The 14,999-nt window shown below is 49.6% G+C and overlaps 1 long non-coding RNA gene, 1 other non-coding gene and 1 pseudogene across 9 annotated transcripts in view, besides 2 other annotated features; 2 read left to right on the plus strand and 1 right to left on the minus strand.

Moving 5' to 3' along the window:
- TRNAV-CAC (transfer RNA valine (anticodon CAC)) lies at positions 1-71 on the plus strand. The gene has a single exon. It is a non-coding gene; the product is annotated as a tRNA-Val (tRNA).
- Positions 162-670: an enhancer, noted in NCBI's record as "H3K4me1 hESC enhancer chr1:149294067-149294575 (GRCh37/hg19 assembly coordinates)". NCBI's record gives its function as "activates a minimal SCP1, AML or CMV promoter by ChIP-STARR-seq in naive and primed H9 embryonic stem cells {active_cell/tissue: H9 hESC(naive and primed)}" and the evidence as "EXISTENCE:reporter gene assay evidence [ECO:0000049][PMID:30033119]".
- Positions 671-1,181: an enhancer, noted in NCBI's record as "H3K4me1 hESC enhancer chr1:149293556-149294066 (GRCh37/hg19 assembly coordinates)". NCBI's record gives its function as "activates a minimal SCP1, AML or CMV promoter by ChIP-STARR-seq in naive H9 embryonic stem cells {active_cell/tissue: H9 hESC(naive)}" and the evidence as "EXISTENCE:reporter gene assay evidence [ECO:0000049][PMID:30033119]".
- LINC01145 (long intergenic non-protein coding RNA 1145) overlaps positions 2,992-14,999 on the minus strand; it is a 51,954-nt gene continuing 39,946 nt past the window's right edge. Inside the window, exons 2-5 of one of the 8 annotated variants that reach the window (NR_111954.2) lie at positions 9,835-10,078; positions 8,420-8,508; positions 5,839-7,979; positions 2,992-3,531 (exon numbers count right to left, since the gene is read on the minus strand). This is a non-coding gene — a long non-coding RNA (long intergenic non-protein coding RNA 1145). Of the gene's footprint in view, positions 7,980-8,419; positions 8,559-9,834; positions 10,079-14,999 lie in introns of all 8 variants that reach the window. The other 7 variants (NR_156691.1, NR_111958.2, NR_156690.1 and 4 more) reach the window with 7 other exon arrangements.
- Positions 8,412-8,557, plus strand: RNU1-153P (RNA, U1 small nuclear 153, pseudogene; annotated as a pseudogene).

A 14,999-nucleotide genomic window follows, 5' to 3' on the forward strand; every position in this document is an offset into this window, starting at 1 on the left:
GCACTGGTGGTTCAGTGGTAGGGTTCTCGCCTCACACGCGGGAGACCCGGGTTCAATTCCCGGTCAAGGCAAGAGGTTTTTTTGCTCTTCACTATGGCTCTTTACCCTTCTGCCCTGCAGAATTACACTGCATAACCTAATAGTGCATTTAAGGGCTTGGCCACCACAAGGTAAACTGACAACAACGCTGACCAAAGTAGCAGCAAAAGACATTCAGGAGACTAACCCGGGACCCACGCAGTTGTTGGACTCAACAAACCGCTAAGCAAAGTGGCAAGCACGTAGTGTTTCTGGTGAGTCACTGCAGTTTTGATATTGGTACCTGTTACTTTCATCTGTTCTCTGGGCGGATTCCTGCAAACCCAAGAACCATCAGTTTCCTGATTCGTGTGCTGGACCTTGGGCTTACCGCTGAGCCACTACGGAGAGGAACAAGAAATGAAGCTCCCGGAAGGAGAGAAGCTGCGGGCGGGGCAATCACCTCGGAGGTCCAAGAGGCCTCAGCGGCCCAAAGAAAGGGGAGGTGTGTGCGGGAGAATCTCAATGGAGATGAGGAGAGCAGCGGTGACTGGTCCTTGCGCAGAGTGGTCCTTGCACAGAGGTAGCCAATGGACCCTCGAGGCTGTACCCCAGACACCGCGAACCGAATTTGCTAACATCTTCAGCCACCGTGGCCTCCGCGTGTTTTGTGGGCCCATCGGTGTTCAGTGAGGGATTCCGTGTGTCTGGCAATGTGTGTCAACAGGTGTTGGCCTGAAATTTGGCCGGGCACGGTGGCTCACGCCTGTAATCCCAGCACTTTGTGAGGCCGAGGCGGATGGATCGCTTGAGGTCAAGAGTTCAAGACCAGCCTGGCTAACATGGTGAAATCCCGTCTCTACTAAAAATACAAAAATCAGCCGAATGTGGTGGCGTGCACCTGCTATTCCAGCTACTTGAGAGGCTGAGGCAGGAGAATCGCTTGAACCCGGGAGGCGGAGGTTGCAGTGAGCCAAGATCGCGCTACTGCACTCCAGCCTGGGCGACAGAGCAACTCCGTCAAAAAAAAAAAAAAAAAAAAATGGAGCGAAAGAAGGGAGAGGTGTCGATGGGACAACGAGACTTCCCAGGAGGCTTGTTGTAGAGGCAGTGGCCAGGTCCTGAGAGATGAGATGTTTTTTAAATTATGTAGCGGAATGGGGAGAGAGTAACGGAGAAGCGCATGAAAGAGAGAAAAGCACGAAAATCTGCAGACGTTCGAGAATAAAGCAGAGAAAATAGTATGAGTGTTTTTACATAAAAAAATATAAGAAGTACAATGGTTGTCAGCAGGCTTTTTGGTCGTGTAGTGGTCAATACTTGCAGCTGTGGTTGCCGCAACCTGGGTTCTAATCTGAGTCACAGTAGTGTTTTCTCTCCTGCGATTGTAGCTAAAAGACCTGTCGTTTGCTTTGCCTTTAATCCTAGCAGCCTCCAGAGAGCGGAGTAAACCGCTGGCCCGGAAGGGCGCCAGCTTCTGGAGTTTAGCCCACAGTGCGTAAACTAGGGGGCGGCCTGGCCAAAATGAAAACTCGGACATGCTCTTTGTCTCACAATGGAGCAGAAAAAATTCCCATAGGTGAAGATGCCGCCTCTCAAGGGCCCTTTGTCTGTAGCTTCCACCGATGAAATAATACGGTTATAGTCTCATCTGGTAGAGAAAACGGCTGTATCAGTGGGATTTTTTAAAAACACAAAACGAGAACGAGCTTTTAATGAGTTTACAATAAAATCTAAACTAGTTGTCATGGTCTACACCGGCTTGCCTCCATTCCCCATCCCCTAATTTTTATGAGAACAGTAAATTATTACTATTACTATTATTTTTGAGATGTAGTCTTGTTCTGTCACCCAGGCTGGAGTGCCATGGCTCAATCTCGGCTCACTGCAACGTCCCGTTTCCCGGGTTCAAGCAATGAGAACAGTAAATAAACTACAGTTCACATAAAGTGCACAAATCTTTAGTGCAGTTCGTTTATTTTTGATGAATGTAATCACCACCCAGCTCAAGTTATAGAAAATTGCCATCATCTGAGAAAGGCCTGTTAGAGCCCCTTTCCAGGCAATTCCCACCCTGTGTCCTCTTAGTTAATCACTATTCTGATGTCTATTCCCATAGGTTACAATTGCCTGTTCTTAAAGTTCACATGAGTGAATGGACATATCTTTTGTATCTGGCCTTTTTTCTGCAGGTATGTTCATTATACTCATGAGATATATCCACGTAGTTTCATAGATCACTTCTCAATTTTGGTGTTATTGAATTCTTGTGATGAATATTCTTCTACAGGTCTTTTTGTGCACTTGAGATTCATGGAAGTACTTCAATTGCTGGGTCACGACCTGAGTACAAGTTTAACATTAGTATAAATTGCCAGTCTTCTAGAATGTTTTTTCACCAGCAATGACAGTTGAAGTGGCACCAAATTCTTGTCAGCATTTGGTGTACTAACTTTTTAAAATGTAGCTATGCTCTCAGACCAAACTGGCCAACATGGCGAAACCCCGTCTCTACTGAAAATATAAAAATTAGCCAGGCATGGTGGCATGCACCTGTAGTCCCAGCTACTCAGGAGGGGGAGGTTGCAGTGACTCAAGATTGCACCAATCGCACCATTGCACTCCAGCTTGGGTGAGAGAGACCCTGTCTCAGAGAAAAAAAAAAAAGTAGTCACACACTGGTGATTGGTTAGTGGTATCTCAGTGTGGAATTAATTTGTACTTGCCTAATGAGCAATACTATGAAGCATATTTTCTTATGGCTTCCAGCATATAAGAAATTCTCCTTTGCAAAGGCCTATTCGAATATTTTGCCCGATTTTATTTGGCTTAGCTCTATATTACTGATTTATGAAAGTTCTTATATATTCAGGAGTTGAGTCATTTTTCAAATAAATATATTGCAAATGACTTTTCCCAGTCAATGACTTGACTGACAACTGAAAGCTGTCAACTGAAAAATCACACAATTTATAAATTTAGAAAGGAGATTTTATTTTTTTATAAAGGGTTACAGCCTGCAAGTGGCCATTCTGACAGACTGGGAGGCATAGCTTCCTGCTGAAACCCGAAAAGTAGGTTTCCAGGGAGGGGAGGGCGAATAGTGATTTACGTTGATCTGGCTGGCCACATATACATATTCAACAGGGAATAGGGGGAGCTCTGAATATTTGTGAAGGGATCCTGCTGCATGCATGCTGAGTAAACATGCCTGTTACATGCAACCCATGTTCACTTTGGGGTGGAGACAACATTTAAATACATTATAATTAGGCCCTATGCTTCAAAAGGTGAAGCAGGGACACAAAGGCAATCAAGTGCATAGCTTCTGTAAACTGTCCAGAACCCGCCCACGGCCAGTGGTCTCTTATCAAGAGAAAACTACTGAAATCAGTCTCTTGTCCAATCAAAGCAGTAGTTACGGCTTGTGTAGGGAGGGCTCAGTCAGTTTATGGTAATAGGTGAGCTGCAAGTGCTTCAGCATTGCTTATCTCAAGGCCAGTGCTTGTTTAGCTAGAGAAAAAAAGGAAGAAGAAAAAAAAACTGGCAATTAGAACATAGTGCCTACTGCCACACACATACCACCAAATCCTGCACTCCAAGCTTCTCCTTCTGCACCCTGGACTCCCAACCTCCAGTTAGACAATCCACATCTTCCCACACCTGCCTCAGGCTCCATCAGGCCACTGTGCCTCCCATAGCAACCAGGCCAGGGGGGATCTTGATTCCTATTACGTTTCTGAAGAAGGTGGTCAGGGGGTGTGGAGGATGTAGGTGGGAGGGGGTGAGGTTGAGGGCAGAAGTACACTGTGGTCTTCTGTCTTCTACCTCATTGGCCCAGGTGCTGCTCTCCCTCCGGTTGTCTGCTTTCAGCCCTTCGTGGGAAATCAGGTCTGCACCCTGATCTTCCTGACTCTCATTTTGTGAGGAACCTGAACGGATGAGACGTCGCTCTTGTCCCACAGGTTCTGTCCAAAAGGTGCCCTCCTCTCTACTTGCTCGGGGGCCTGCCCACTGAGCTCTGGCACTCAGGCTGGGATGCCGCCCAGTACAGAGGCTCTGCAGCCCTGCAGGGGTCTGACTGTTCCACACCAGCAGGATACAGGCCACAGGGCATGCTGTGGTGGAAAAGCATTCAGAGGTGTGGGCTGAAGGCTTCTCTTTCCACAGTCCCTTTGAAGATCCCATGGAAGTAAGCACCCCTTTGAGGAACAAGGTGGCCCAAGGCCTGGCTTCACATGCAGGCTCTTGTGTCCCAGTGGGTCCTCTCTGTGCCTGGTATAGCCGACTGCTTCACACATCTTACCCGGTTTCCTCTCCTCCACCACCCAAGATCCTCCTCGACCTCCTTGCTCAGCTGTCCTTAGGACAGCAAGATCCCCAGCCCTTGGAAAAGCCCTATCTCCACTGCTTGGGGAGGGAGTTGGGTTCAGGTCTTCTAACCACAGAAGAACAGAGAACCTGAGGCAGGAGGGAATCCCTTCCCTTGCTGGGTCTCTTGGCACAGCCCATCTAGGGGTCTGGGTCAGGGTCCAGGTATCCTCTACCCTCCTTGAGGACCTGAGGTTTCAGGTCCCCGGGGTTTGTCAACGTAGAGTCTTTCCCACTGTTCATCTGGGAACTGTAGGAATATCCCATGGGGCCCTCTCTTACTCATTAGAGACACCCAGAAAGTACTCCTGCAGAAACTGGGTGCAGTGTACCAGACCACAATAATTCTAATTACAGGATGTGGAGGTCAGATACGTTTTGTGACTATTTTCTCTCTGTCTGTGGCTTGCTTGCCTTTTCACTTTCTTAGTGGTATCTTTTGATGAGAAGGTATGGCTAATGTTGATGAAGTCTAATTTATCATGTCTTTTATATATATTTTTTCAGTGTCCTACTTGTTGGTAGGCTAATCTTTACCTACAGAGTATCCTTGAAATGCTTTATATCTTTAACTTTTAAGTTTTGGTGTATAATGCACCTCAAATTACTTTTGTATGTAGTGTGAGGGAGAATAACATTGTTGGTCTCCCCCACCTCCATATGAAAGTCCATTAATTGAAATGATTTATTTTCTTCTATTGAACTGCTTTCATTGAAAGCTCATTTATTGACTGTATGGCTGTGGATCAGTTTCAGGTCTCTTAACTCAGTCTGTTTATCTATTTGTCCCTCCTGATGCCTTGTCTGTAATAGCTTATAGTAAGCCTTGAAGTCAGATAGTACAAGTCCTTGTTCTTTTGCACACATTGCAATAACTGGGTCTGGATTTAGTCCCGTTAGTCTGAGTGGGACTAATGCCACTATAAAAGGGACCCCAGGGAGCTCTCTCTGCCCCCTGAGGATACAATGAGAAGGTGGCAGTCTACAACCAGAAAAAAGTCCCTCATCATAACCCTACCATGTTGGCACCTTGATCTCGGACTTCCAACCTCCAGAACTGTGAGAAATAAATTTCTGTCGTGAATTAGCCACCCAGTTTATGGTATATAGTTATGGAAGCCCGAACTAAGACAGAGATGGAATCCCATGGAGGGTCTCTAATTTGCTGAGCTGGTCATCAGGTGGGATGTTGCAAGTTAGAAACAAGAAGAGCTGACATTTTGTGCATATGAAAGAAGATAGTGGACAGGCCCATTGTCGTCGGCTTTGTCCGCCTTGGCGAACTGGAGACGGAAGCTAGATTCACCTTCGACAGCCACGGGAGGACCGGGAGGACCTCCAGAGGAGGTTAGGTCGACCTCATGGTAACTTTAGATCCTGAAAACTCACAGGATTTTTCTTGTCTTCCCTTTGATCTCTCTTCCGCCTACTCAACAGGACAGGACTCACCGCCTTTCTTTCCCGTCAGAAAGGGATCCCTTCCGGACAGGACAGAAGTGAGCAGATGGTTTCCCCTACGTGTCTTTCCGGGCCTGGGCGTCTCAGGAGCTCAGGCTGACCTGAGACCTAACTCCTGGCAAGTGGGACCAGCAGGAGCCTGGAAGAGCGCGCGCACCGGGGTGGAGGTTGGGCGCCGGGGGTGGAGAACCGCAGTCAAATCCTCTTCTTCCCCGCGCACCGCGCACCTGCCCCCGGGGATGCCGAACGAATTGGCCCATAAAGCTTCTCTGCAACGGAAAGAAGCCTGAAGCTCCAGGAGGTGCGAGAGGAGCCTCGTTGAGCGAGCCCAGCCCTCTGCCCGGCTGGCCCTGGTCAACAGGCTCGGAAGAGGCCGATTTGGAGGACAGAACGGAAGACAAGACCTAAAGGTTTCGAATCTCATGATGTGGAGATGTTAAAGCCTAAATCCTAAGGTCCGACTGTGAGGGGGAGCGAGGGTGTCTCGAGCTGGATCCACCCTTGAGCCTTCACCTGGAGAGTCCTCTGCACAAGTTCAGAGAGAAGGACTACGCGCAGCAATGGTTCTCAACAGGGGGCAACTTCGCCCTCACATGCCTCTCCCAACCCCGCTGGGACACTAGGCCGCGGCTGGGGGAAGCGGGAGGGAGAATGTTATCCCCCTGGCATGTGTCTAGTCAGCGGAGGAGACAGATGCTGCTAAACACCTTGCAATCCACGGCGGGAGGGCCCCTCCCCCACCCCGAAGTAGCCATTCGGCAGAGGTGGAGAAACTCGCGTGTAGATCAATGCCCACGCACTTGGCCGACGGAAATCACGAATTGGTGACCAATTGGATCTTGGATCTGAGGAAAAAGCTCCAGCTTCAGAGGGAACTCTCGAAGTTTTGCCCAGAGCAAACGGAGGGGTTGCGTTGCCATCGCCTAAAATGGGAAAATGGCAGGCGTCACAGGTTGCAGGGGAAGGTTGGAGACCAGTTGAGTGCCCCGGAGCCTTCCTGGAAAGAGTTTCCTATCCAGCCCGCCTCGGTTTCCGCATCCGTCTGATTCCTTATGATGTTGAGGGTGCCGGGGTCTGGGTCCTTTATGATGCAGAGGGTGCCCCCGTCTCACCTCGGGCGCCTCCCCGCTCCCGCCTCCTCCTGGCAACCTGGTGGGCGGCTCCGGACCCGGCGACCCGCGACCATCTTGTCAGTTGCTGCCGCCTGGCAAAGGGCATCTCTAGGCCAGTGGTGAGCTGCGGCCGCGTGGCCGCAACTCGCTCCAGTACTCAGGACTCCCTCGTGGAGCCCTTGGTGTGTCGCCTGCAGGTTCTTTTTTTGAAGAAAGCAGGGAGTGAACGGCCTTGTGAGACGACTCCAGGAGCAAAGGGAGACTCTCACAAGACCCAAGTCCTCCTAGAGCACAGGAAAGTGTCGCTTCAGGTCGAAGAAGGGAGAGAAAGCAGCTTTCCGCATCTGCATGGTTGTCTAGTGGCTAGGATTCGGTGCTGAAAGCGCCACGGCCCGGGTTCGATTCCCGGTCAGGGAATTGTTTTGCACTGGCCGCCCTCCCGCAGAAATCTTCCTTTACCACGCTGTCAGCCGGCCTGCTCCAAGGGCCAGATGTAGAACAGCCTCCGCAGCGAGGGGCAAACCCGGGCAAAGGAGGGCAAGTCGTGGTGGGCCACCTCTCACGTTTATCTCCGTGTCTGTCATCCGCAGAAGCGGCTTTAGAGAGCGACTGAGCGTCTCGCTCAGGTGTACACAGCCGTGCAGAGGCCAGTCCCCGTGGAGCTGCACTTAATAAGCGCACCCTCTTTGCCGTCGCCGCCCCAGAGGTGCCTATCGGGCTGAGCTTGTGAATAACTAAGAGAGAGGCCAAGCCAAGTCATGGCGTTTGTGCGTGCCCTGGACATGGGCACCGGTCAGTCAGCGGAGCCTCCTCACCTCCGTTCGCAGCTAACATGCTCGTTAGGCCTTCGGAAGAGGCGACCGGAGGCGATGCCCGCGAAGTTGGGAGGGGAGTGAGCCGCGGGTGAGGTCCTCAAGGGCGGTCCCTTTTGCTGATTGAGCGGTAGAGGGAGGCGATGTTCGCTGACCCAACAAAGACAGCAGGTGGAGTAGGCACAAACGGAAAACTGTTGCCGGTGCCCTAAGCAGAATGCAGGTGTAAAAATTAGCACTAGGACGTCAAAGCGATGGTACCACAGTCAAATCCCACAATGTCTACACTCTACCAAGCACTTGCGCACGCTCCCCCTTTTCCATTCAGTATTCCCAAGAGGGGTTTGGAAGAACCCCGCGTCCACTGTAAGCTCAGGGGAGAGCGGGAGCCAGGGAGGTGAAGTGCACAGACTGGACAGAGGCGGCGGGCAGAACCGCGGGGGTGAGAGGGCGCGTGGTTGCGGGGCGGGAGCCACTGCTGAAAGGCGGCCTGGGTTGTCGTGTGGGGTGACTGTCGGTGGAATCTTTGGCAGAGAGTGGTTTGGAAGAATGGCGAGGGGGGCAGTGGGTAGGGTGGTGACCCTGAGCGTCCGACCAGGGCGAGGACGCTGTGCTGTCCCTGCAGGGCATGCGCTCATTCCCACTTACCTGGCAGGAAAGAGACCGTGGTCACGAAGGGGGTTCTCCCAGAGTGAAGCTTCTTCATCGCACTCTAGAGTTGCTGATCTCTGTGATTTCTTCAATGTGGGAAACGGTGTTTGTGCTAGAAGAGGGCTGCGCTCTCTACCTAACATAACGGGGTTCAAAACTGACATCGCCTCACGCCTACCCGAAAACGTTTACGTGGCTTCCTTGTCTCTTTGTTTTTTCTGTCCTAAAGTCGCCTTATCCTCACACCCCCTCACGTTTTTCTTCCACACTCGAGAGTGTCTCTCCGTCTCATTAAAAGCCCCACCAAATATTTGAAATATCTCAACCAGAAAGGCTGCAATGAATACAGTATTTCATTTGTGGAAGCTACAGACCAGCTAGGTTGAGAGTTGCTTGATATTTTCTGCTAAACCGTGAGGCATAGAGCACTTGGAAGGTTTCTCTTTGGGCCTTTGTTTGTGTACTATTGGGTTTCCTTCTTTTCCCCAGACCGTATGGCGCTGTGGGGCCAGCGGTAAACCCTGCTTTCTGGCTGCAGATAAAGGCCGCAGCTGGTGCAGGAATTAAAAGCAAACCAAAAGACTCGTGGGTTCGCCCCAGTGGGTCCAAGATAGAGTCTGACTGTACCAGGATTCAGATTAGAACAGAGGTTGCTGCAGGCACAAGGCAGGGTACTAACCACTATAGAATCCCAATGCGCCCCACACCTACTGCCCGTCGTTTTGCTTCCCCACCCCTCTTTTATTTATTTATGCATTTTTTTTTGAGAGACAGAATTTCGCTTTGTCGCCCAGGCTGGAGGACAGTGGCGCGATCTCGGCTCACTGCCACCTCTGCCTCTCAGGTTCAAGCGATTCTCCTGCCTCAGCCTCCTGAGTAGCTGGGACTACAAGCGTCGCCACCACACCCAGCTAATTTTTGTATTTTTAGTAGAGACGGGCTTTCACCATGTTGGCCCGGCTGGTCTCGAACTCCTGACTTCAAGTGAGTGATCCACCCACCTCGGCCTCCCAAAGTGCTGGGATTACAGGCGTGAGCCACTGCGCCCGGTCCCCCGATTTTTTTTTAATGTAAAAACATTTATGCGATTTTTACGTGTTTATTCTTGGGCAGCTACAGGTTCTTGTGATTTTCCCTCACGTCTTCTCCAGTCCATTCTGATACGTGTCCCATCTTCTCTGCATCCAGCCGGTGCCCTCTGCACCGGCATCCTGGGCTGTCCCATTGTCTCGTCCTGGTCTCCCCTGCTTCTTCTCCCTCCTTCTTTTCAGGTTTTCCCTTTTGACTCCCCTGCCTCTTTCCCGCTCCCGCCCCACCAACCCCATCTACTGAAGCCGAGTTGAGTGAGGGGATAGCAAGCGGAGTAGATGATTGCCTGAAGGCGGCGCAAAAAAACAGAAAGAGCTACCTACCATGAGAGCCGTCGGGGCGTTCAGCTTCCCTTGGGCCCTACTAGGCTCAGGCTGGGGTCGCAGATCCAGGCATTTCCAGAGGCACTGGCTTCTGAAGGAGGCGAGGGTTAATGGAGGGTGAAGGCCATTCGGCCGCCCTTCTGGTTTCAGAGTCAGGCAATGCAAGCGTTTCTAACGTGCAACAACACGATTAGTCGACTCAGCCTCTCCGGTTTTCCGAAGCTTTGTAGTCTGCACAGTTGTCCTGCAGAAAGCGAATGGCAACCCCTAGAGTTTAGTGATTGCTTAATCTATGTTGAGATGAAAGCGACCAACTGAGGTTATCTCCGTGGAGCAATTGGTTAGCGCGTTCGGCTGTTAACCGGAAAGTTGGTGGTTCGAGCCTACCCAGGGACGTGCTTTTAAATGTTGGTTAGTTGTGGTCAGGCGCGGTGGCTCACGCCTATTAATCCCAACACTTTGAGAGGCCGACGTAGGGGAAGCCTCGCCTGAGCTCAGTTCAAGACCAGTGAGAATCCCATCTCATTAAAAAAAAAAAAAAAAAAAAAAATTGCAGTTGTTTCTCCTCAGGCCTATCACTGTATTTAAAAAGTGAGAGATTGTTCCCTTGTGTCTTGTGCATCCTATAAGTACACAAAGCAAAAGGTCCCCCTCCAAGCCTCCTATAAAATAAGATCCCTCCAGATCAAACTAGGTTCCAGATAGGCTGGAGTGCAGTGGAACAATCTTGGCTCACTGCAACCTCTGCTTCCCGGGTTCAAGTGATTCTCCTGACTCAGACTCCTGAGTAGCAGAGATTACAGGCGTGGGCCACCACACCGGACTAATTTTTGTATTTTTAGTAGAGAGAGGGGTTCACCATATTGGCCAAGCTGGTCTCAAACACCTGACCTCAAGTGATCTGCCTGCCTCAGCTTCCCAAAGTGCTGGGATTACAGGCGTGAGCCACCACGCCCAGCTAAACAGTCAGATGTTAAAATTATATATTCGTCTATTAGATGTCATGTCTAGTTTTTTTTTTTTTTTTTTTTTTGTACAACCAGATTTTCATCCGATGTCAGTTTCGTTCTGCCTGGAGGACTCCTTCAACTTTTTTTTTTTTTTTGTGGTAATGGCTGGGGGTAGTGAATTTTCAGCTTTTGTAGAATTTCACATTGACTTTTCCCCTCAGTGCGGTTTTTTTTTTTTTTTTTTTTTAGAGGGAGTCTTGCTCTGTCGCCCAGGCTGGGGTGCAGTGGCACCATCTCGGCTCACTGCAAGCTCCGCCTCCCGGGTTCATGCCATTCTCCTGCCTCAGGTTCCCGATTAGCTGGGACTACAGGCGCCCGCCACCATGTCCAGCTAATTTATATATATATATATATTTTTTTTTTTTTTTTTTGTAAAGACGGGGGTCTCACTGTTTTAGCCAGGATGGGCTCTATCTCTGGACATCGTGATCCACCCGCCTCCGCCTCCCAAAGTGCTGGGATTACAGGCCTGAGCCACGGCGCCCGGCGGCTTTGTGTTTCATAATCTTTTTTTCTGCAGTGTCTAATCTGCTGTTAATTGCATCCAGTGAATTTATTATCTCAGATGTTGTAGTTTTTAATCTCCAAAGTTTGATTCTGACCATTTTTATATGTTTGATACCTCTGCTTAATTCTTTGGACCCATAGAATATTGACATAATAACGGTTTTAAAGTCCTCTGTTTTCTTTTCTTTCTTTCTTTTTTTTTTTTTAAGACGTAGTCTCACTCTTGCTGCCTAGGCTGGAGTGCAATGGCACAATCTCAGCTCACTGCAACATCTACCTCTTGGAATTAAGCAATTCTCCTGCCTCAGCCTCCCGAGGAGCTGGGATTACAGGCATGCACCACCACGCCTGGCTAATTTTTGTATTTTTACTGGAGACGGGGTTTCATCATGTTGATGATGAAAGGTCCCAAACCTGAGACCTTTCACATGTGAAGCGAACATGTAATCACTACACTACAGAAACCCCTCACAGTTCCTGGCACAAGACATATTCCTGAAATGTTACCATCTGCTGTTTTTAACTACTAGGGTTTCCAATATAACAAATTCGACTGCTTTTCAAAATTTGAGTGATAAATACGGCAGGAAACACAATCCCTCAGGCAGACAGGCTGAACCCTCATTTACGGTTCCGCGCCTAGCCCCGAAGCCAAGACCCTAGGGACCCCCAATCTGGCTTCGGGATCCCGCATCTCATGCAGGGTTTCCAGGAACTGAGTGCCCGTGTGTGGGATTCTCCCTGCTGACTCTCTGGCTCCCAGAAGCTTCAGGAGCTGGTGGAGCCATGAGTGTCCCGTGCCACACAGGAGTGTGGACGCCGCCCCTGCAGGGCTGCTGACTGCCCCTCGGGGGCCCTTTCCCCGGCGCTGGCCATTAGGGCTCTTGGCTCTTGACAGGCGATCATGCTTCCGGTCCTCCCAGGAACCATAGGACCCTCCCTGCCTGCTCTTCCACCAGGCTGAAGGGCCTGACCCGCACGCTGTTTCCTTGCTAGCCCTTTGGCCTCAGCACCTCGAATCTTCCAGAGGGCATCCTTCACTGCCACTCTCGCTGAGTCTATTCGATTCAATGTAAGCTATATTTATCCACACGTTGAAGTTTTAGCAGGTACTATAGCAAAGGCTGTGTCTCAAGGCATTTCACTCTTTGAAAATATAGAGCATCCAACCCAGGCCAAACTGTGCTTCTTGGCCTGCACTGAATTCGTTTGAAGACCAGGGCATGAAGTTCATAAAACACAAGGGTTTCAGAGCCATCACCACTGAAGGACACAGGAGCAGCCTATTCAGATTTCATGATCACAGGATCTCCACCTCCATCTTGAGATTTTTTTTAAAGGCAGTTTTATTGCATTCTTTCATAATACTTGAAACTTTTTATTTGCATTTTTGATGTTCCTACTCAACAGATCTTGAAGTGAATTATAACAAAGAGGTAAGGGCAGTTTTCAGAGAAAGGCAGTGTCTGTGAACTTTTCAAGTTTGTCTCACAGCAAAAGATCAACAGGCAGAATTTCCTTTTGCTGAAAGATGTTAATGTGGTTTCTAAGGTGTTCCTTAGACATGAGTGTAAAAACAAATTTGGGGAAGAAAGTGCCATTTTCTCCAGCAGTTGCTTTTCTTACTGCAGTGGTTACCATGTTTCCTTCACATCCAAAGTTCAAATGCTCCCACCCTGGGGAAAGTGACAAAATGTTCGTTGGATGCCAGGCTGCAGTGTCCAGCTTTGTTCTGCTTTGGCTCAGACTGGAGACTGGGACTGGACTGGACTATGTCTCCCTCACTAGAGACTGGGAGCCCAGTTCCAGATGAGGCAGGCATCATGGTAACTTTTGATTAGGCAATTTTGTGACATCTTTTTCTGCTTTCTTCCCTCTGAATTCTCTCTCTCTCCCTCCCCACTGACCCAGAGGAGAGGATTCACTGTCTTTCTGACTCAGAACATTCTGGGGTCCTTCCTGGACAGAAAAAAAAAGGCAATTGCCCTTTAACCTACAGGAGCAGAAAGGGCTGCAGGTAACTGGAGACCCACAAACTCACTTCGTGGGCCACTGCACATCTGTGCCTTGTGGGATCCTAGCATACCCAAAACTGTGCGGCTTGAAGCTTCTCTGCCCGCTGAACAGGAAGTATGGGGTTCCTGACTCTTCAAGAAGAGCCACACAGAGAGGTCTTAAGCATGCCTCTGGACCTTGAACACAGGCCAGAAAGAGGCTTGAAGGTGAGGGCAGAGTCAAGAAAGGGTGGAAAGACAGGCCAACCCACTCTCCCAAGGGTACCTTCTTCAGGACAGTGATTTACTCTAATTTAGTGATCAGGAAAGGAGAGGATTGTGTAGAGCAATGTCCGTACTTGAAAACATGAATTCCTACCTAGATGTGGAGTCCGAGTAAAATATCGGCATCAAAAAGAACTCTGGTTGGCTGGGCAAGGTGTCTCATGCCTGTAGTCCCAGCACTTTGGGAAGCCTAGGCAGGCTGATCCCTTGAGCTCAGGAGTTTGAGACCATTCTGGGCAAAATGGCAAAACCCTGCCTCTGTGGTGGCACACCTTTGGTCCCAACTACACCAGAGGCTGACGTGGGAGAATCACTTGAGCCCGGATGTTCGAGGCTGCAGTGAGCCGTGATCATGCTACTGCACTCCAGCCTGAGTGACAGAGCAATACCCTATCTTCAAACAATCAACAACCTGTGATTTTTTTTTCTCTGCGTATTGCAAGGATGAGAACAAAGAGCTCCAACTAAGATGGAAACGGTACAGATGCGAAAGGATTTAGGGGGAAACCTCTGGTGTTCTGTCAGGGACCACTGGCCTTGCTTGAAAGAAATTTCATCCAGGCTGTCTGGTTTCCTGCATGTGTCTCAGGCCTGCTGTTGGTGGTCCCAGGGGCTGAGTGCTTAGCCCCTTCTCAGCTTGGGTGCCTCCCCTTTTGCCTTCTCCCAGCAACCTGGTCCACTGCCATGGTTCCTGTGGCCATCTCTCCAGAGCCATGCTGTCACCTCGAAAAGGGGCATCTCTAGATCAGTTTTTTTTCACTAAATTGGAATATGAATATATGTATTAGCATGCTCACAAAATAAATGACACATTAATTAGCACTCTCCTCATATGATAAAGAATACATATGACCCACACTGTGGCAGGAAACAGGGGTAAGGGCTATCAGAGCTGGGACTAAGTGTCCACTGAAGAAATCTTGATTCACCGGAGAGAAGTTGTTTCCTTGGATTCCATCATCTCTGCTCTAGCTACCAGCCAGGTCTCCACAACCTTCCCAGAATCCTTCATTCCAGCACCAGTTCATGTTCTTTGCCCTGGCCACTCCTGACTCTTTCAAGACCTGAGTCCACTTTCCCATGTCTCACTCACCCACCTCTGAAATCTTGCAGCACATCTCTTTGGTATGCTGCTGCCTGGCCACCATTGGGGGCACAATTGTCAGGTGGAGGAAGAACATACATACCGAAAGCAAAGAGCAGGGATACATTAGTAAATGGCGCTTGGACATAAACTAAACAACCTCACAGAATACATGCTTCCTCCCAAAATGATACATAATCCCCTAGAAGCAAAGGAAACCCTTCGGTCAACATGTATGAATGATTCTGTATGCCAGGCACAGGGGATATATAGTGGGTGGTGTTT

This window comes from Homo sapiens, chromosome 1 (genome assembly GCF_000001405.40).
Source record: "Homo sapiens chromosome 1, GRCh38.p14 Primary Assembly".
Classification (NCBI taxonomy): Eukaryota; Metazoa; Chordata; class Mammalia; order Primates; family Hominidae; genus Homo; species Homo sapiens.